The following is a 21,663-nucleotide window of genomic DNA, read 5'->3' as shown; positions in this document are numbered from 1 at the left end:
AGACATGATAGAAATACACATTTTCAGACTCTACCCCAGAACTACTGAATCCAAAACCCTAGGGGTTGGCCCCAACACACCTGTGCTTCAGAGATCCTTCCAGGTAATTCTAATGCACAAGTCTAGGAAACACCAGTTTCCAAAGGAAAACTTCCTGCAGAAAGAGCAGTCTGAGTTGGGCCTTGAAGAAAGGGAAGAACTTGTGAGAGCAGAGAGAACAGGTGGGCAAGGCATGCTGGGAGGTCAGCAAAGACAGATGAGGAGCAAAGAAAAGGGTGTTGACCAGAGCAAGAGGCTCCCAGTGGAAGGTGGATAAAGACCAGGCAGGTTAGGACAGTTGGGCACAGTGGACACCAGAAGAAAGAGCTCACCCTGGTGGTCTCCCTAGAGCCTGGGCCGCCTAACATCTGTGTCCCTGGAGCCACAGGTCCTGGCCAAGTGGAGAGGACAGAGAGCCAAGGAGGCAGGGCCAGGGCAGCCTGTGAAGCATTTGCTATCACATAAATCCAGATGTGAACAAGTGATTCAGCCTCTTTGTGCCTCAGTTTTTCCCCCTCCCCCTTCCCATGTAATGTGAGCAATAGCAGGATGTACCTCTTAGGGCAGTCACTGAGGGTTGAAATAACACTGGAGGAAGTGCTTGGCAGATTAAGCCTTTACGCAGACATGTCAAGGACAGAAGGTGAAAGCCAGGCTTCCAGAAGCAGCTGAGCCCTGCCCTGAGCTGGGGGCCTTCCCAAACAGAGCCCAGCCTTTGCCCTCTGCTGACGTTAGCTGTCAGGGCTGGTGATTTGGTAGAAGGCTGGTGTGGGTGGTAGGAGTGTCGCAGCACTGTGCTGAGTTATGAAATGGAAAGTCAGAGAATTGCTGTCCAGAAGCTGCTGTCAGGGAGCCCTGAGTTTGAGCAGGTAGGTGGCCCTGGAGAGACACCAGGCTCTGTCTTAGCCACAGGGAAACCAAGCTAAGGATGCCCTGGCACTCCTGGCCTAGATCTTCATGCTGAGCCTGTAACAGATCTTTAGTACCCTTCATTCAGTTTCCAATCCTCAGGGGCCCAAGGCTCTAGCAATTCCAGATTAAAATGATTTTGCTTCCAAACACTTTTCCCTGAGGCAGCCCTGTTTCTGTTGCCATTAGTACACTCTCACTCATTCCACATCTACCAGGCCCCATGTTTGGGCCAGACCCTGGGCTAGGTGCAGGGGCCACAGAGCTAAACAAACACAGTCCAGGGAGGAAGACACACATATCAACAAGCAGTGGTTCCACAGCAAAATCAAATCATTCTCACTGGAGACACTGGTGTCATGCTACAGGAACACCAATGATGAAGCAAAGTTTTTTTGTTTTTTGGGTTTTCTTGGAGACAGTGTCTCACTGTGTCACCCAGGTTGGAGTGCTGTGGCATGATCACAGCTCCCTGCAACCTCCACCTCCCAGCCTCAAGTGATCCTCCTACCTCAGCCTCCTGAGTAGCTGGGACTGCAGGTGTGCATCACAACGTCTAATTTTTGTTTTTTTCTGGAAGAGACAGGGTTTCATCATGTTGCTCAGGCTGGTCTTGAACTCCTGGGCTGAAGCAGTCTGCCCACCTTGGCCTCGCAAAGTGCTGGGATTACAGGTGTGAGCCACTGTGCCCACCAGGAGCAAATATTTTTGCTTGGAGGACCTTGGAGGAGGAGGTGGTGTTTGAGCTGAGACATGACCTGTGCCTCAGAATCATTTTCTCAGGCTGAGCAGCGAGGAAGCCCTGGGGAGGAGGAGGCCCCATCAGCCTGCATGGAAGCCATGTGGGAGGGCTGGGGTTAATGGAGGGCACAGCCTGAGCTGACCAGCAGCCGAGGGGGCCAGGAGGCCAGTCCAACCACAAAAAATGAGATCTCCTCCTCAGCATCAGTACAATAACCTCTAGCCACCCAGGAAGGCCACCTTGGCCTCAGGGCCAGAGTCAGGGAGCCCAGCCAAAGCTATTCTAACTGGGGGAGTTGGCAGCCACCAGCTTTTGGCTCACTAAGGCCCACTGACCAGCTTCAGAGTGAGGATGTCAGCCTGGGTTCCCAGCAGGGACCTGCAGGCTAGATTCCATGGTCTCCATTCTGTCCATGCCTGATGTTGTTCATCTGCACAGCCATAATCACAAATGGTGATGAGGGCACATGAAGATTCTATTCCAGGCCCCAGGGCAAATACACAGAGAAGCCCACCTGAGCCCCTCCTTGCCCCAGAATGGGGACAGACTTCACTGTTCCTTGGCACTGAGACTTGTGAGAAGGCCAGACTCACATGCCAGCAAGGCCAAATGGCCACATAGGTAACAGACATGGGGAAAATGGGCTGGAGTCCCCATAGGGAGTGGTGGGGGCTACAGTAGCCTAAAGGGTGGAGCCCCATCCAAAGGAGTGGCTGACCTCAGCTCCAGCAGACACTGCCATGTGGGAATATAGATTATCAAGAGAAGCGGGACCACCGGGGTTTCTATGTGAGATATCTAAGTTTTTGAGTGTTGGCCATTTTAAAACACCGCGTGGGTGTGCTCTTTGAATGCAATGCAGTGCATGCTCTCTGAGTCTTGATTTCTACAATCCTGTCCACTGCCAAGGTCTTTGTCTCATTGGATCCTCACTCCTGTTTTAGGGATGAGAAGCCTCATATTAGAAGCCCAGTAAGTGGCAGAGCTAGGATTTAAATCCGGGTCAGTTTTCCACCCAAACCAGCTCTCCCACCGTGCTGGCTCCGGGACATGAAAGACAGAGCCGAGAGAGTGTGGGCTGTGCTACAGGAGTAGGGGGTTGCTGCAGTGGGGCCTGAGGTCTCCGCTTGCTGCCTACCCGAAATCCCAGGAACTTTTTGTTACTGCGAGGCTCTATCGCCACCTAGTGGTCACGACTCAGCATTCAGGTTAGAGCAACCAGCACCTAGAGGAATAACAAACCCTTCCTCCCTCAAGTCCCTTAAGACTTCAGGCTGAACACCTAAAGTCTCTGACCCTTAAGTCTTTTATTTGAAAAATGGAGGAAAAAGTGTGCCTCCTTCCTGGGGGTTGTTAGGATTAAATAAGAGAATGCAAGTTAACTGCTTAGCATAGGGTAGCACAATGCCTGGCCTCTACTAAGGGATTAACACGTATCCACCATTATTATTAAAAGCAAAAGAAAGCCAGGCATGGTGGCTCACGCCTGTAACTCCAGCATTCTTGGAAGCCAAGGCAGGAGGATCGCCTGAGCCCAGGAGTTTGAGAGTATCCTGGGCAACATATTCAGACTCCATCTATGCAAAAAATAAAAAATTACCCAAGCATAGTAGTGCACATGTATGGTCCTAGCTACTTGAGAGGCTGAGGCAGGAGGATCACTTGAACCCTGGAGGTCAAGGCTGCAGTGAGCTGTGATTGCACCACCGCACTGCAGCCTGGGTGAGAGAGCAAGACCCGATCTCAAAAAATAAATAAATGCAAAGGCAAAAAGGCCATGGGCCACTCTGGCCAATGCCTGTGGTTATGCCAGTTCCAGGCAGGATGCGTCCAGCCCCACCCTGACAACTCCAGAGCTCTCCACCTCCCACTTGGCACCAGTTCAGTCTGGCCCAGTAGATAATGAGGAAGACCCTCAGAGCCCCCTTCTCTCCCCTGAAATCCTTAAATATCTCTCCAGGAGACTAATCATTGGGGCTTGGGACCACTATATCATCATTTCTTTTAGTGTGAACCTTAGGTTGTTACTATTTTTTCCTTTTTTTTCCTCTACTTTTGTCACAGTAGAGCCATTTTCCCATTATTTTGTTTCAAAGGCTAAGATTTAATAATGATTTTTGTTTGTTTGTTTGTTTTTTTGAGACAGAGTCTCACTCTGTCACCCGGGCTGGAGTGCAGTAGCGCGATCTTGGCTCACTGCAACCTCCACCTCCTGGGTTCAGGTGATTCTCCTGCCTCAGCCTCCCGAGTAGCTGAGACTACAGGCACCCGCCACCACGCCCGGCTAATTTTTTGTATTTTTAGTAGAGATGGGGTTTCACTATGTTGGCCAGGCTGGTCTCGAACTCCTGACCTTGTGATCCGCCCGCCTCGGCCTCCCAAATTCCCAACAGGGATTTGTCAGGGAGAATTCAAGGATGTAATCCCAAAGTGCTAGGATTACAGGTGTGAGCCACCGTGCCCGGCCATGATTTTATTTTTTTATTTTTTAAGGCAAGTAGAAATGGAGGCATCCTGACTTAGGGATGCTGGTAAAAAGCCAGAGCCTTTAGCACTGCCTACCCTGAACCTCCAGGGATCCACAGTTTGAAAAACACTGGCTTCAGCCATTATATCCAGGAGATCTGGTTAAAAGTTGCCAGGAAGAGGCGACCTGTTAACCCATGAGCACCTACCGGCATAGATAACATTATGGGAGGTTTGGATTTGGAAGCAATCCTGACTTTGAACCTGAGTTCCAGCACTTCTTAGCAGTGTGGCCCCTATCGGGTTACTTAGCTTCCTTCCCTAAAATGGGACTCACAAGAGTCCCCTCCTCAGAAATGGGAATGAGCCAGTGGGAGTATACAGAGCCCTGAGTGGCTCAAAGCCACTCAAAGCCCTGGGTGGCTGTAAGTTTGCCAAATCCATAGGCAGGTTCTTCCAGGGCCCACTAACCTACTCCCCCACCCCAGTTGCTGCCACACCCAGCTCCAGCAAGCCCAGAGTAAGGTCAAGGAGTCATCATTTCCACCTTTCACTGAGCACTTGCTAGGTGTCACAGGCCACGTATTGCCCATTAAAACCAGTGTAGGGCCAGGCACGCTGGCTCACGCCTATAATCCCAACACTTTGGGAGGTCAAGGGAGGAGGATCACTTGAGGTCAGGAGTTCAAGAACAGCCTGGCCAACATGGCAAAACCCCATCTCTACTAAAAATATAAAAATTAGCCGGGGATGGTGGTGGGTGCCTGTAATCCCAGCTACTTGGGAAGCTGAGGCAGGAAAATTGCTTGAACCAGGGAGGTGGAGGTTGCAGTGAGCTGAGATCACGCCAATGTATTCCAGCCTGGGCAACAGAGCGAGACTCCATCTCAAAAAACAAAAACAAAACAAAAAACAGTGTAGGCCGGGTGCAGTGACCTGTAACCCCAGCACTTTGGGAGGCCAAGGTGGGAGGATGGCTTGAGCCCAGGAGTTCAAGGCTGCAGTGAGCGATGATTGCACCACTACATTCCATCCTGGGCAACAGAGCAAGACCCCTGTCTCTTACTAAAAACAACCAAAAAACCAATGTTGTAAGATGAGTATAAAACTCATTGAATAGAAGCAGAAACAGGGGCTTACAGAAGTGATATGACTTGCCCAGGGTCCCTCAGCTGGCAGGCCCAGTGTGATCCCAGATCTCTCTCCTCAAAGCATGACCTGGCTGAAGGCTATACCTCGAGCCTACCTAGGATTCTCCCATGTGGGCATCAGATGAGGCCCTCCAGGAAGCCCAGCACTGGGGCACTGCAGAACCCAGCACTTTGTCTAGGGCAAGAGCCAGTGACCACACAGCCCTCTCTGATCTGTGGCTTCTGCCAGACCACTGTCTCCAGGCTGGGTACCCCTGCAGGCTATTCACCAGCACCTGGGATGGCAGGAAGGGAAGAAGGAGTTGGGCCTGGAGCCAGCTGCCAGGCAGGAGTAGGTGGTATGTGTTCGCTGTGTCTGTGTGTGTGTGTCTGTAATGGGAAAACAGCTGCCCTGACTCCCTGAATCATAATGTTGGAAGCGAGTGCCTGAGCTGCAGTCTCTTGACAACTCCCTTTCTGACAGGTGGCTGTCCAGCATGTTGACACACCTCCAGGGTGGTGAGCTCATTTGCATCCAAACAGCATCCATTTCTAGGACGCTGTGGGATATACCTGCATATTTTTGCATGTGTGGTTAGAAAACTGTCTGAGGGCTCAAGGTCACAAGTTTATGGTCTCTGCACGGGGCCATCCCTCCCCTTCCTGCTTTTACCAGCCCATCTGTAGGATCAGAGGCCTCTGCCTTGCCCTCAGCTTGCAACTTGGTGCAGCTGGAGGCTTCTGAAATAGAAATAGCTCTACCTTCATAGGGCTTTTTGGCTCCCCATCAAAAAACCAGATTCCTCAGTGGACTCTTTTACCCACCACTCCACCTCCCACTACCCTATCTCTTGGCTAGACCTTACATTGATAAGTTGTCATTTACTTTATAGGAAAGGCTAAGGAAAGTGGAATGGAAGCTTTGTGAGTGCAGTTACCCTATCTTCCCTGTTTGTCACTGATCCACAGCACCCAGGACGAGGTGGCCCATAGCAGACACTTGGTGGGTGGGCGGATGAAGGGTAGATGAAGGATGGATGGATGGATGGATGGATGGATGGAAGAGAGTAGATAAATAAGTAGGTGGGTAGGTAGAGAGATGGATAGGTAGATGGATGCAGAGGAGGGTGGGTGGGTAGATGAAGGATGGATGGATGTGATGGGATGAATGGATGAAGAGGGTAGATAAATAAGTAGGTGGGTGGGTGGAGAGATGGATAGGTGGATGGATGGAGAGGAGGGTGGATGGATGAATAGGTAGAATAGATGGAAAGGAAGTATAGATGGTTGAATGGATGGTTGGATAGTTGGATGAATGAGTGGGAGGAGAGATTTCCCAATGGATTTGAGTGGGTCCTGGGCTCCTGCATGTCCTCTGCCATCACTTTCTCCCAGGGATCAGCACTAGAACAGGGATCACTAGCTTTGCAGGCAATGGTCCTTGTTAGTCTTCTAACACTAAAATAACTGCTCACATTTTCCCAGTAATTGACAAAGCGCTCTTTTGTTGTTGTTGTTTTTTAAGAAATAGGGGTCGTGCTATGTTTCCCAGGCTGAACTTGAACACCTGGGCTCAAGTGGTCTTCCTGCCTCAACCTCCCAGCTTGTCAAGTAACTAGTGATACAGGCACATGCCAGCATGCCTGGTTACAAAGCACTTTCACGTACCCTCTCTTATTTTATTTGAACATCACAATAGTTCTGTGAGGTTATTATCCCCCTTTTACAGATGAGGAAACTGAGACCGGATGTTCTATTCCTATGGTTGGTTATGGTTCCATCCAGCAGTAAGGGGCTAGAATGGACTCTGTTTTCTTCAGTATACCCCAATTTAGCCTGTCTTCTCCCAAGCATTTCTCTTGCCTTTTTGGCTGCTGAGATTTCTAAATCTGAGTTAGTCACTGAAATGGTCCCTGCCTGCCTAATCAGTGCCACCCCCTGCTGGGATCCTCTTGTTGGAGCCAACAAGGATTTGTCAGGGAGAATTCAAGGAGAGAGGAAGCCTCCATATGTATCCCTGATACCTGAATAGATAAGACAGAGCTCAGTCTACTCCTCAGAGAGCTTCAGGGAAGGAAGAGGTGTCACATTCCCCAACTCCCATCATCTCCCACCACTGTTCCCTCCCAGCCCCCGCCGAGGGTGGAGCGCTGGAAAGAGCACAATTTGGGAGTCAAAAGTGTTGCCTACAAATTCTGTCTCTTGCCTGTACTAGCTGGGTGACCTCAGGTAAATCACTTAACCTCTCTGGGCCTCGGTGTCTTCATCTGTGAAATAGGATATCTGGCACCCACTTCATAGAATTATTGTAAGGTTCAAATAAGTGAACCACTTAGCACCATGTCTGGCTCATCTGGGCCCTCGGTGAGTGGCTCTTGGCCCTGTTAGAGACAGCATGGGCAAGTAGGATGTGCACACTGAATATCCCATAACCAGCCAGGCACGGTGGTTCATGCCTGTAATCCCAGCAGTTTGGGAGGCCGAGGCAAGTGGATCACGTGAGGTCAGGAGTTCAAGACCAGCCTGGCCAACATGGTGAAAACCCCATCTCTACTAAAAACATAAAATTAGCTGTTTGTGGTGGCATGAGCCTGTAATCCCAGCTACTTAGGAGGCCGAGGCAGGAGAATTGCTTGAACCCAGCAGGCAGAGGTTGCAGTGAGCCAAGATCATGCTACTGCACTCCAGCCTGGGCGACAGAGTGAGACTCCATCTCAAAAAAAAAAAAAAAAAAAAGTGAATATCCCATAACCAAAACATTTGGGACCCAAAGTGTTGAATACTTGCATTATGCTGGTTCAGCATCTCTAATCCGAAAATCTGAAATCCAAAATCTTCTAATGAGCATTTCCTTCAAGCATCATGTGGGTACTCAAAAAGTGTGGGCTTTTGGAGCTTTTCAGATTAGGGACATTCGACCTGAACCTCAGTTCAAATCCTTGCTCTATGTCTTACCAACTGTGGTGCCTTAGGTAAATTCCTTAGCCTCCCTGAGCTACCGTTTCCTCATTTCTGTAGTGGAGATAACAAACTTACCTAGCATGAGTATTATAAGGCAGTATTTCCCCAAAAGTGGCATGCATACCACTGGTGGTACCTGAGGTGACCTTAGGGGGGACAATAGCAAACTATTGAAATTTTAACTGTGAGAGAGTTTGTTTTATATGTACTAGAAAAAAATATAAAAACCACATCAAAACTATTTTTTAGAACAATGCTAACCTTTATCCTTGCTGATATTTAAGGGGGAAATTGGGCAATTGAAAAGAACAAGCGTGTTGAGTAAATAGTGGTCCAGGCAGCATGCAGATAGAGCAGGATTGAGAAGGTGGTCTGGGAATGGAGTTTGCTTAACTCTATGAAATAATAGAAAAGAATACAAATAATGATAGCCAAATGCAATACCTGACCCTAGACTAAATCTTGGACTGGAAGGAAATAAATGCTGTAAAGGACAGTATTGGGTCCAATGCAGAACTGGAATACAGATAATAGACTAGATAACAGTGTGGTATCCATGTTAAATTCACCAAAGTTGACAACTGCACTGTGCTTATATAAGAGAATATCTCTGTCCTTAGGAAATGCACACTGAGGTATCTAAGGATAAAGGGCTGTAATGTATGTAACTTACCTTTAAATGGTTCAGAAATGTGTGTGTGTATACATAAAATGCACAGAGAAAACCATAAGCACATTGGAGTAATGGGAGAAACTGGGTAATAAGCATCTTCTGTACTGTTTTTATTTTTGCAACTTATGTAAGTTTAAAGTTATTTCCAAATAAAAAGTAAAACAAAATGTAAGCAATGCAGGTCAAGTCCACAGCACAGGGCCCAGCCATGGAAGGCCCTTAGTGAACTCTCCGGCTTTCTCCCCTTCTCTACTGGCCAGTGTGGAGACAGTGAATGATGGGCAGTTTCACAGTGTGGAGCTGGTGACGCTAAACCAGACCCTGAACCTAGTAGTGGACAAAGGAACTCCAAAGAGCCTGGGGAAGCTCCAGAAGCAGCCAGCAGTGGGCATCAACAGCCCCCTCTACCTTGGAGGTAATGCCCTCTTTCCCTACCACCTCTACCTCCCTCTGGCCCTCTGTGCTCCAGTACAGAAACCCAGGCCACTGCCAAAGCCAATCAGGGAAGGCTTCCTGGAGGAAGGGACAACGAAGCTGATCTCTAAAAGGTGAATAAGCACTAGCCAGGCCATGGAGGAAAGAGAATGTGGGACAGGTGCTTGGAAAGGAAAGAGAACAGGACTCCTGGAAACTACACGTTGTGACGGGCAAGGGTGAGAAGGGGGAGGCAGGAGATGGAAGCAGGGTCTAGGCTCTGCTGAAGTCTGCCAGCTTCAGGTCATATTCCCTCTGCTCTGCCACCTCCTCAAACCCTCGGAGGTTCAATTAATGAATGTAGAAGAATTTGAGATTAAAATCAAAGGCCAAAAATGGAAGTAGGCCAGGTGCAGTGGCTCACACCTGTAATCCCAACACTTTGGGAGGCTGAGGTGGGAGGATCACTTGAGCCCAGGAGTTGGAGGCCAGCCTAGGCAACACAGTGAGACCTCATCTCTACAAAATATTTAAATTAGCTGGGCACAGTAGTGAGCACCTGTAGTCCCAGCTACTTTGGAGGGTGAGGCAGGGGGATTGCTTGAGCCTGGGAGGTTGGGGCTGCAGTGAGCCATGATTGTGCCACTGCCCTGCAACCTGGGTGACAGAGTGAGACCTTGTCTTTAAAACAACAACAAAACACAAAAAAGTAGCCATCAGTTAGGCAGACTCTGGGCCTGAAATGCAGCCCCTGCACTGATAGTTCTCAAGGGGTTAAGTGTAAAAAAAGCTACCAAAACTGCTCGTTCAATCCTAAGATTCCCAAGACTTTACCCAGAGTCCACCTGCAGAGACTAGCACGGGCCCAGAAGAGGGTGTTGTTAATGGGTGGTTCAGATGTAGGGAGGCCAGGGAAAGCTCTGTGCCGAGGGCAGCCCCAGAAGGGACACCACTTATCCCTGGAGGAGGACCGTGCCCTGTGCCCCACCTGCTCCAGGTGCACCCAGAACGGAACTGGGTGCCCTGCTTCCAGGCCAGTCCCAGGCTCTCAACTATAGAAGGTGGGCAGGGAATGGTGTAGAAGGGGAGCGAAAATACAAATTATTGAAAAGCAAATTAGGTCTTTACTAACAGTCTCTTGAAGATCCTGAGAAGAGGGGTACACCGCACATAAGGCAGCAAACTGGTCTAAAAACCCTGAACCCCAAAGTTTCGTTGATCAAGCAGCTCCCCAAAACCTTATCTTATCTCCTCAGCTGTAGCTCACCTGCCCTGGATTCTCTTGTGAGGCCTGGATCAAAGGGCTGAGGAGCCTGGTGGGGACAGCAGGTTATTTGGTGCACTTGCCTATTGGGGGGAACGGTCTCCTCAGTTCAGCCAGTGGGATCATAGGGCAATGGGTGACCAGATCATCTCATTTTTTCTAGGGAAGTCCAAGATACAAATTTTTATGGGAAATTTTCTAATATTACATATTGGCAACAAATTCACGTTTTTTTAAGGAGTCCCAGTGCAGGACCAAGGATGCACGTCCCTGTATGGAGGAGGTCCGAGGTTTTGGCCCGTTAACCTCGTTTGAACAGCAGAGGCCCAGAGTTCTGGCCATGAATGTGTGAAAAGTGCTTTTTCGCTCTGAGGACAGCAGGGTGGCAGGGGAGGGTCTTCAGGCCACTGTCCTGGCTCCCCTCCCACAGGCATCCCCACCTCCACCGGCCTCTCTGCCTTGCGCCAGGGCACGGACCGGCCTCTAGGCGGCTTCCACGGATGCATCCATGAGGTGCGCATCAACAACGAGCTGCAGGACTTCAAGGCCCTCCCACCACAGTCCCTGGGGGTGTCACCAGGCTGCAAGTCCTGCACCGTGTGCAAGCACGGCCTGTGCCGCTCCGTGGAGAAGGACAGCGTGGTGTGCGAGTGCCGCCCAGGCTGGACCGGCCCACTCTGCGATCAGGAGGCCCGGGACCCCTGCCTCGGCCACAGGTCAGTGTCCCAGGAGCCCTGGCTGTGTGCTCGAGCTCCCAGAATGGCCTCAGTCCCTACCCCACCTGAGAAATAGGCACTACTGGAGGCTGGAGGAGTTGCAGTCAGACCGCAGATAGGATCTGTGTAAGTGTAACTGCTTAAGAGGTCAAGAGGCTGAGCTTACACATCTGAGCAGCCAGACCTGCTTGGAGGGATCAGCATAAGAGGGCCCTGCTCAAAACACTAGTCTCTGCCAGGTGGCCTTTAGAACCTGTCCAGAGCCACAGTGAGCCCCCACTGTCTCTGTGGGAATTAAAAAAGGCACCCACATGGGCAGACTCAGCCTGTGCAAGGCACCAGGTGTATATAACCACACATCAAACCACATTTAATAGTTTAAGCAACTACTCATTCAACAAAGATTTACTGAGGTCCTACTACGTGCCAGGCCTCATGCTAAATATAGGAGATCCAGTACTGTCAGTGTTAAGAAACCTGAATCAGCCAAAACTAACACCAGAGCCAACACTGGAAATGTGGTTGGCTAAACCAGTCAGGAAATGATTTTTTGGATCAGGAATAAGGGACAGCTATACAGGGTTTGAGCTTCTTGTGTTGCTCTTGAGCATATGTGTGTGTGTGTTTGACTCTATAATACGGATCCTGGCTCTGCATGTCATCTCAATAGGGGCAGTGGTGCATCATGATTCAGAATATAGGCTTTACCTTCATTTTTTTCCATGGGTGAAATGTACTGCATAGGAGCAGCAGACAAGAGGTTATGATGGAAATTCAGAGCAATACTGGGTGTAAAGCACTTAACACAATTCCTGGTACATAGCCAGTGGTACCTGCTGGTAGTAGTGGGGTGGTAGTAATTCTTATTTAAGATGGTAAAGCAATTAAAATGTTTAGAGAATGGCTAGATTCTTTCAAGCAGTTGTTTGCTACTTGGCTGCATGAGGTGTGTGTGTAAATCAGCAAGCCAGCCTCTGCTGTGGTCACAGCTCACAGTGGACACTGGGTGACACTCGCAGGCTTCTGGCTGGTTGGCCAGGGGAACCAAGGTGGTTAAGAAAAGAGATGCTCAGCCTAGGAAACAGAGAAAGCTATTGGACTGTACTCAGCTCCGGGTCCCCTGGTCCCTGGCTGGGTGGACAGAGGGAGTCCCCAGCAGCACCAACTCTGATCCAGTTCCCTTCTCATCCTCCTCTCTGCCCCTAGATGCCACCATGGAAAATGTGTGGCAACTGGGACCTCATACATGTGCAAGTGTGCCGAGGGCTATGGAGGGGACTTGTGTGACAACAAGAATGACTCTGCCAATGCCTGCTCAGCCTTCAAGTGTCACCATGGGCAGTGCCACATCTCAGACCAAGGGGAGCCCTACTGCCTGTGCCAGCCCGGCTTTAGCGGCGAGCACTGCCAACAAGGTGGGTCTACTGTGCCTGTGGGAGGGAGGAAGTGGGGGTCAGAGTTGGACTTCACATCCAGATCACCTCAGTTCCAGTTCTGGCTGTGCCACTTAAAGGCTGCATGACCTTGGTTCAGTCACTTTCTGAGCCTCAATTCCCTCAACTTGAAAACGGAGGCAATACTATACCTTCCTGTATCAGTTATCTAGTGCTGCATAACAACTTAGCCCCAAACCATAGCAGTTCAAAACCACAAAAAACATTTTTTTTAGCCTACATTGTTCCTGTGGGTTGGGAATTCAGAAAGAGCGTAGCTGGGATCTCTCAGGGTTGCATTCTACACAGCCATGGCTGCAGTTCTCTGTAGGCTAACCCAAGGCAGCAGGATATGCTTCCAATGTGCTGCACTCCCATGGCGCTGGGTGTTGGCGGGAGGTCCCAGTTCTGCCCTGCATGAGTCACTACACAGGCTCTTTGAGGGTCCTTGCGCCAGGGCAGCTGGCATGTCCCAGAGTGAATGGTCCAGAAGAGAGTAAGCCACTTGTCTTGTATGACCTACAATTGGAAGTCACTCACACCATCATTTCCACCACATTGCATTGGTTACATCAGTCAGGTACATTCAGTGAGGGAGGGGACCACATAAAGGGCATCAATACCAGAAGGTGGTAGTCACTGGGGGCAATCTTGGAGGCTAGCTACTGTGCTTCTTTATAGGGTTGTTGGGAGGAGTACGTGAGATGTTGAGATGTAAAGTCAGAAGCAACATTGTCACGATGAAGGCCAAACTGTCATTTAGAATCTGCATGACCTTGACTATCCTGGCCAACATGGTGAAACCCTGTCTCTACTAAAAATACAAAAATTAGCTGGGCATCATGGCGGTCGCCTGTAATCCCAGCTATGCTGGAGGCGAGGCAAGAGAATCATTTGAACCCAGGAGGCGGAGGTTACAGTCAGCCAAGATCAACCTGGGTGACAGAGTGAGAGCCTGTCTCAACTCTGCATGACATTGAGCAGCATACTTGTGGTTCACTTCCTCATCTAGATAGGGCCAGGAGTGGTGGCTCACACCTGGAATCCTAGCATTTTGGGAGGCCGAGGTGCAAGGATTGCATGAGCTCAGGAGCTTGAAGCTGCAATGAATGCACCACTGCACTCCAGCCCAGGTGACAGAGACAGACCCTGTCTCCAAGAAAAGACAAAAGTGCAGATAACTCATACTGCCAAAGTTAAGATTCTAAAGCATGGACTTTTTAAAGATGAAACAAGTGTAGAAAATGGTCCTCAGTGGACCTCTGCAGGGAGAACACATGAGCAGTCTGGATGGTTCTTTTCTCCTCTTTTCCAGCTGTTGGCCCTTGAGATGCCATGCCTTCAAAACTAATGAAACCCTAGCCACTCAGAGTGGCCCCCTGACATTGACCAGCACCACTGACATCACCTGGGAGTCACCTGGGGCTCCCAGGCCCCACCCCAGCCCTTTTGAGTCAGAACCTGCATTTTGCAATGATTCGCATATGTATCCAAGCTGATGGCATTGCTCCACAGCCTCCATCCAACCCTCTTGCCCTTACTGGGTCAGCAGAAGCCAGTTCTTTGGTCTGACCTAAACAAAGGAAATTATATTAATATTAAAATGGTTGTCTTACCTTGGGGGATCTTTCTCCTGCATGGACACTGAGAAGTCTTGCTCCCTGCCACCAGGATCCCAGGCAGTCCACCCCGTGCCTTGAGGACTTTTCCACATTTTATACCTACACGAAATACTATTCTTAACCAAAACTCATTTTTAAAATGTTATTAAATAGCTTATTCTGAAATAATTTCAGACTTACAGAAAAACTGTCAGGACAGTATAAACAGCTTAATCCCTTCACCCCAGTCATTAGCATGTTGCCCCATCTGCACTCCCTGTCTCTCCCCATGTTATACACATGCACATGCACACATTGTCATTAACCTCTTTCTAATCCTTTTAACAATCTCATAATTTTAAAGACTTTTAACAACACCTGAAGCTTTAAAATGCATAAAGCCCTTTCTCCTTCACAATCGCCTCTGGTGCCCGTAACAGCCTGGGAGTTGCTGGAAGGACAGGTAAATGTGTTACCACTTTGCAGACACGGAAACTGTGACTTGCTTGTCAAGGGTCAAGGGTCATGGCTCCCTTCCTCAAGTGCCTTGCTGCAGACATTCTCCCACTGTAGTGAGGACAGTAGAGGGGTGGAAATGAAAAGCTGGGTCAGGGTCCAGAGTGTTTAAGCAGATACAGGGGTGCCCTTTCCCAGCCTGCAGTTATTTCTAGGCCTTCTGGAAAAGCTCATCGCAACACCTGCTTCTTATTCAGATATCAACTCCAGCTCATTTCCCAGAGAAGCCTCCCTGGCCCCTGGGCCAGGTCAAATGCCTTTTGAATACAAATGTCTTATAGCATACAAAAACATATACTGTATGTTCTTGTATGAACATCTTCCCTTTCTTTATAGCATCTACCTCAGTTTCTTTATTAAATATATTCACTTAAATAGTATCTAGACTCTAGGCCAAGAGAGACAGACTATTGGGAGTGGTAGTGACTGGGGCAAACTGGAGATTGCCTGCCCCATCTAAAGCACTCAGCTTCAGCCATCACTGCAGTGCAGGGTTGCAGGCTCAGCTCTGCCAGACCTCCTTGTTTTCAAGGAAGGCAGAAATCCAGATTTTCAGGTGAAATCTCCTGCTTTTTGAATGTTGACATTTAATTAATTTTTAGGCACATGTAGGGTGATCCAAATTGGTCTGGGGTCAGGATTTGGCCCACAGTCTATCAGTTTGCGTCATCTAGTTTTAGTTTTGACTTTAGGTTTCTTGAAGGAAGGGACCAAGCCTGCTTTTGTCATCATTATATCCTCACGGCTTAGGTGTAAGCCTGTCAGAGAGCCTGGTACAGGAAAGGCACCTGTTTGTAAAATAGATGGGTGGATGGAGGGGAGGGTAGGCAGATGGATGAGTGAATAAATTCTTACAGTCTTCAGAGCACAAGTATTTCAAAGCAGCCTACCTGGGAACTGCTCATGGTCCTGCTGGCCACCTAGACCACCAATGCCCTGACTTCTATGCCCTCTGCAGAGAATCCGTGCCTGGGACAAGTAGTCCGAGAGGTGATCCGCCGCCAGAAAGGTTATGCATCATGTGCCACAGCCTCCAAGGTGCCCATCATGGAATGTCGTGGGGGCTGTGGGCCCCAGTGCTGCCAGCCCACCCGCAGCAAGCGGCGGAAATACGTCTTCCAGTGCACGGACGGCTCCTCGTTTGTAGAAGAGGTGGAGAGACACTTAGAGTGCGGCTGCCTCGCGTGTTCCTAAGCCCCTGCCCGCCTGCCTGCCACCTCTCGGACTCCAGCTTGATGGAGTTGGGACAGCCATGTGGGACCCCCTGGTGATTCAGCATGAAGGAAATGAAGCTGGAGAGGAAGGTAAAGAAGAAGAGAATATTAAGTATATTGTAAAATAAACAAAAAATAGAACTTATTTTTATTATGGAAAGTGACTATTTTCATCTTTTATTATATAAATATATTACACCATCTGCGTATATGTACCATATAGTGAGTTATTTTTACCAAGTTTTGTGTTGTGTATTTGTTGTGTTTTTAAAAATAGCTGTTTAAAAATTTAAGAAAAAAATAGACTAATAAAAATGCTTTAAAACAAAAGGATAAGAATAAAGAATGATAGCCTGTCTGAGGAAGGAGGAAGATGTTTTCATGTTTATGAAACGGTATTATGTCGGCAGTAGACCAAGAGCTGCTCATTGAGATCAGAAAAAGGAATAAGAGGAAGAGAGAGAAGGAAAAGACCTTTGTTTCTTGTTTTTTAACTCCCTTTTATTTTTCCTCCCCTAAAATTACCCAGCTTTTCGGAGTCCTGGATGTCAGTGCCCAAAATGCCCAGTTCTTCCAGGAAAAGCTGCTGAGCCCTGGCCTTCTCAGTCTCACTGCCACTCAAAAATATTGCTGTCCCTGTCTGTCCCAGACCCCCCTTCAGGGTATCTGAACCCACTGGGGGACCCCTCTTCTCCTTCCTGGGTGGCCCTGGCTTCCGTATCTGAACCCACTGGGGGACCCCTCTTCTCCTTCCTGGCTGGCCCTGGCTTCCAATCGAGGACTGACTATTGAAGTCTGCTACAGGTGTCATTTGGAACTGTCTTACCAAATTTTAAAACAGCTGCTATTTTTCCTGCTCCTCCCCAGGAGAGGGGTCTTCCTAGAGGAGGCGAGGGAAGAGAATATCATGGTGTCTCCTCAGGACCCATGCACTGGCCCTCTCTCCTCCTTCCAGGTAATTTTTCATTGGAATGTATCCCAGTAGAGAAGGTAGTCAGCCCTTCTTGGAAGCGGAAGGCTGGGAGCCAAGTCAAGTCTGCCCACAGCGCTAGATGTCCAACTCTGGAAGGTTCTTGGAGGCTCTTGTTGTAAGACAGGCCTCTGCCACCTGATCCTCCAGGTCACCAGCATGACGATAGAGACTCCTTGCCCATCTGTGACACTTTCCAATGCATATCCAAACTTTACCTTATTTTATCTATGCAACCCCTGCCTCCCTGGGAAGGATAAGGGAGTAGAGCTGGGTTCACTAAGAAGGAAGTTTAGGCCCTCACAGGCTCTGGAACTTGCCTTAAGCCACACACCAGATAAGTGGAGGAGCCAGACCAGAAGTCCAGACCCAAAGCTTGAGATTCTTCCTCTAGAATGGGTGAGCACAGGTGATTCAGGCGGCTTAAATCCATCAGAGCAGCCCTGCCGGAAAAGGAAATAATATGATGTTTTTTCCTGCTCTTGTTCTGCCTTGCTCACTCCTTCTCCCTCCGCAGTATCTGGAAAGATTCTGGAGACCAGGGCTTATGCATCTAGGGAAAGTGACCAAGGGCAGCCTATCCAGCCTCTGCCTCCATTCCTGAAGGGGACTTCCCTGCCCCTGTTTCTTTCCATGTCTCTCCCTCCCTCACTCCCATTTGCCCCCTTCCACCCCATCAGGTTAGCCACATATCTTCCAGGGCTCAGCTGTTCACACCAACTCCCTGGCTCTTATCATCCATCCCTCCTTCCCCCAGGAGCTTCCACTGTAGGAGTTTCAGGGAGAAGAGTTTGGAATTCATTGGACCTTTCAGCCCTCAGGTTCCCTAGAGGAGCCTAGTTGATCTGTGAGTACCAATGGTGGGCCAAAGACGCAGGGAATAATGAAGGGAGAAAGAAAAGAAAGGAAGATGGAGGAAAACGAGGCAACTGGAAGAAGGAAGGAAGGAAAGAAGGAAGGGATGGAGGGGATGAAGAGAAGGGAGAGAGGGATATAGCTGAGGAATTTATCTAAAAATGTGCATGTAAATCTCCATTATGTTCCAGGTACTGTGCCTTATGATGGCTTTGTTTTTTGTTGTCATTAGAGACAAGGTCTTGCTTTGTCACCCAGGCTGGAGTAGAGTGGTTCGATCATAGCTCACCGCAGCCTCAACCTCCTAGGCTCAAGCCATCTTCCTGCCTCAGTCTCCCAAAATGCTGGGATTACAGGTGTGAGCCACTATGCTCAGCCTGTTTCAAACATTATTATAATAGCAGATTTATTTAGTACTTTATTATACATCAGATACCACTCTAATTGTGAAATAGATATATATTCATTTAATTATTGAAACAACCATGTAGTTAAAACACTATTAACTCATTTTACAGTTGAGTAGACTGAGACACAGAGAAGTTAAAGAACTTGCCCAAGAGTAAATGTCTAATAAACCGTAGAGCCAGGATCTGGGCCCAGGCTGTCTGACTCCAGAACTTGCTCACTCAACCACTAAACCATCCTGCTTCTCATGGGAAAGAAACACATCCTGCCTTTGAGGATCCTACAGCCTGTGACAAAAACAGTCATAAAAATGGACAATTGCCTTATTACACAAGGAGCTCTTAAGTGGCAATACAAGCAATGGAAGTGGCTGTCCAGAGGAGGGAACTTCTAGTCCTAGGTCTTTAAGGATGAATAGGAGTTTGCCAGAGTGAGAAAGGGAATTGAACTTTCCTGGGAGTGGCCTTTTAAAAAGCAATGAGATATGGCCAGGCCTGGCTTGTTTGGGGAAGAGTCAAAATCTAGGGTGGCAAGAGTATGGGAAGCACACTGAGGAGCAGAGAGAAATGGGGTAGGTAGGAAGGTAGGGTTTTGACCACAAAGAGCTGTGCATGCTAAACTGGGCCACAGGTGCCAGCAGGGTTGTTTGAGGAAGGGAAGAGCAAGACAAGCTCTGGTTTAGGAAGAGAGCTGTGGCAGCATAAAGGCCTGAAAGAGGAGACAGAGCTGTCACCCAAAATGGACTTGAGAGCTCCCTGTGGTTTACTCTGTGGCTAGAAAACACTGCCGGCCAGATGGATCACAAATGTCTATGGTAGCTTAGAAGCTCTGCTCTTGAAGAGGATCCTGGGATCTGCCCAACACCCTTCCCAACCTCCATTTCCCCATCCCCACCTCCATTGCCCCATCCCCCCTCTCCCCCTAGGCAGGTGGATCTGAGCCTTATCCCACCACCAATGCCCCTGCTAGCCTCTCCCCACCCAGCCCAGAGCCTACTCAGCCTGCCATCTCAAGAGCCCCACCGAGGGTCACTGGCTTCCTGGGAGGAGTCACCAGGCTGCCAGCTTTCCCTCTGCCTCCCCAAGGAACCTGAGACCTCCCTCTGCTCATCACCCTGGGCCCAATCCTGAATCCAGCCCCCATCAACCAAGACAGCAAAAGGGCCAGGTCTGTCCCTTATAATTTTGAGCCTTCTCCCTCAAGTTTGGAAGCCCTGACTTTAAGAAATGCCAAATGCAAGGACCATTAAGAAAATTCTCCCCGAAATGAGGCTCCTCTAACAAATGATGATTAAAACGCTCTCTCCTTGAGCAGTCACATTCTAGAAACAGGACATTCCATGAGGCAGGAAGAGTTCAGTTAATTTGCTCCTGAAAAAGTGTGGTTCAGTGTTTGTGTGGCAATGTACGTGGGCAGAAGAGGCCGCTCAAGCTGTGTCCCCCCTGAGCAGGATTCAGGAAAGGGAAAAGAAGTTCTCTTCAACTCAGCCAAGGGGCCGTACGATGGCCGATGAGATTATGTATTTAAAAGTTCTTTGTAAAGTGTAAACTAAAAACCTTAAATGTAAGATGCTGTTGTTATTATTACTGTTGTTGTTGCTGTTATGGACATGCCAAAAGGCCCTTGTTAGAAGACAGTTTTGCCTTTTCAATCTCATAGCAAGGAACTCAAGTCTGATGCTTCAAAAAGATGAGAAGAAGGGCAAGAAGAGGGATAACTCCCAAGCTCAGAGGGAAAAAAAAGGTGGGGGAAAAGAGCCCCAGGGTGACCTTCAGGAAAGGCCAGGACCAGGATGATCTAACCTTTCCCTTCACCAGAAACAAAGCTATTGCCAGACTGAACCCTAAAGTCAAGCAGTCACCCACTGCCTTTGCTGGGAGCAGAAGCCCATAGCAACAAGTGACCTGCCCCTCAGACTCAAGATCCCAGATACCAGAGCTGGAGGAGTCATAGGGCATTACTGGTAGGCAGGAAAACTGAGGGTCGAACAAATGGAAGAATGCGGTGATCATAGACCAAAGACACACAGATAATTAACCCCATGTGTCCACCCAGGCCAAAGTTCTTCCTGCTACCCCACAGTGGATGTCCAGGCAGATGGTCCCCACATGATGGGGAAGCAGAGGGCATAGTGTGGTTTTGTGGGACTTGTTCATGTTTTGTAGTGTGGGCTCAACAGTGCCAAAGGAAACACTAGGGAAAAGTTGGTGAAACATGCCAGCTAGCAGGACCAGTAAAGGCATAATCAGGCATTTGGCAAAGCTTGCTTTTCTAATTCAATGATAGGTTCTAATAGGAAATTTTTGAAGATTTTTTAAAACAATGTTATAGTGGCACTTCCCCAGTATGGAATAAATAACATGCATTCTTTTTTCAATATACTGTCATATTCAGATGTCATTAAAATAAATGGATGAGTCACAGAGGAGCTATCAGATGCTCTCATGACTACCATAACTCAGCCCTGCTCCACGGTGTCTGCTTTATTTTTACCCCTGATTTTCAAACCCCCTGGAACAAAGATGACTGCATTCATGGGGTCTGGGGAAAGTCTGGTGTGGAATTAGATCAAAGAATCAGTTTCTTGGATCATGAAGTAAGAAAAATGGATCCAGAGTTCACCAGAACCATTGAAGAGACGACCCAACACACAGCTTAGGGTCAGCAGGGGATGTGGTCCCTATGGCCACAGAAGGTGCCAAGGGTCATGGGGAAGAAAGCCACTACAGTTCAGAGGAAGAGAACACCCTACTGATATGTGAAGGAATATTCCTCCTTATAGGACTCCAATGCCTAATTAAATTTCTCCTTTATCAGTTCCTTCAACAAGTATTTATTGAGCATCTACTATGTGCCAGGTACTGTTCTACGCTTTGAGGACTCCAAAGATGATCAAGACCAAGTCCTTGTTCTCCTGGAGTTTAACTGAGGGGGTTTGTGCCAATCAACAAATAAAGATAACACCCGATAGTGATAAGTTCACTTCCACAAATAAAGAAGAGGAGACACTCCAGAATAGCTGGGTGGGTGCTTCATGCAGTGAGGTCAAGAAGGCCTCCCTAAGGAATTGGGACATGGGGTGGGGCAAATACCAAGAAATGGAAGGGGAAGTAACCTGGCCCTGCGGTACTCACTAGATATTTGCTTTGTGTGGGTGTCATCCGAGGGAGGCAGGCAGCCCGAGCAACTTAGGAAGCCAGAGAGGATGGCCTGGGCAAGACAGCATGAGAGGGAGGGGAGGGGCAAGCAGGGCTCTCAGCCTCTCAGCCCTGGGGCATCCTCAAGGGGCTATGCACTTTTAGAAGGAGGATTGCTAAGGGTCTGGAGGCTGCCACTGGCTGGCTGGAGGTCA

The 21,663-nt window shown here is 48.8% G+C and overlaps 1 protein-coding gene across 3 annotated transcripts in view, besides 1 other annotated feature; it reads left to right on the top strand.

Moving 5' to 3' along the window:
* SLIT3 (slit guidance ligand 3) overlaps positions 1-20,772 on the top strand; it is a 639,400-nt gene extending 618,628 nt beyond the window's left edge. For all 3 annotated transcript variants that reach the window (NM_003062.4, NM_001271946.2, XM_017009779.1), the window contains exons 33-36: positions 9,181-9,335; positions 11,029-11,314; positions 12,521-12,729; positions 15,823-20,772. In NM_003062.4, coding sequence (NP_003053.2) covers positions 9,181-9,335; positions 11,029-11,314; positions 12,521-12,729; positions 15,823-16,058 — 886 coding nt within the window. In that variant the 3' untranslated portion in view covers positions 16,059-20,772. The remainder of the gene's footprint in view (positions 1-9,180; positions 9,336-11,028; positions 11,315-12,520; positions 12,730-15,822) is intronic.
* Positions 10,603-11,178: an enhancer, noted in NCBI's record as "H3K4me1 hESC enhancer chr5:168098339-168098914 (GRCh37/hg19 assembly coordinates)". NCBI's record gives its function as "activates a minimal SCP1, AML or CMV promoter by ChIP-STARR-seq in primed H9 embryonic stem cells {active_cell/tissue: H9 hESC(primed)}" and the evidence as "EXISTENCE:reporter gene assay evidence [ECO:0000049][PMID:30033119]".

The sequence above is a fragment of the Homo sapiens genome, chromosome 5 (genome assembly GCF_000001405.40).
Source record: "Homo sapiens chromosome 5, GRCh38.p14 Primary Assembly".
NCBI classification, from domain to species: domain Eukaryota; kingdom Metazoa; phylum Chordata; class Mammalia; order Primates; family Hominidae; genus Homo; species Homo sapiens.
The sequence above is the reverse complement of the archived record's forward strand: the minus strand, read 5'-3'. Positions and strand labels throughout refer to the sequence as shown.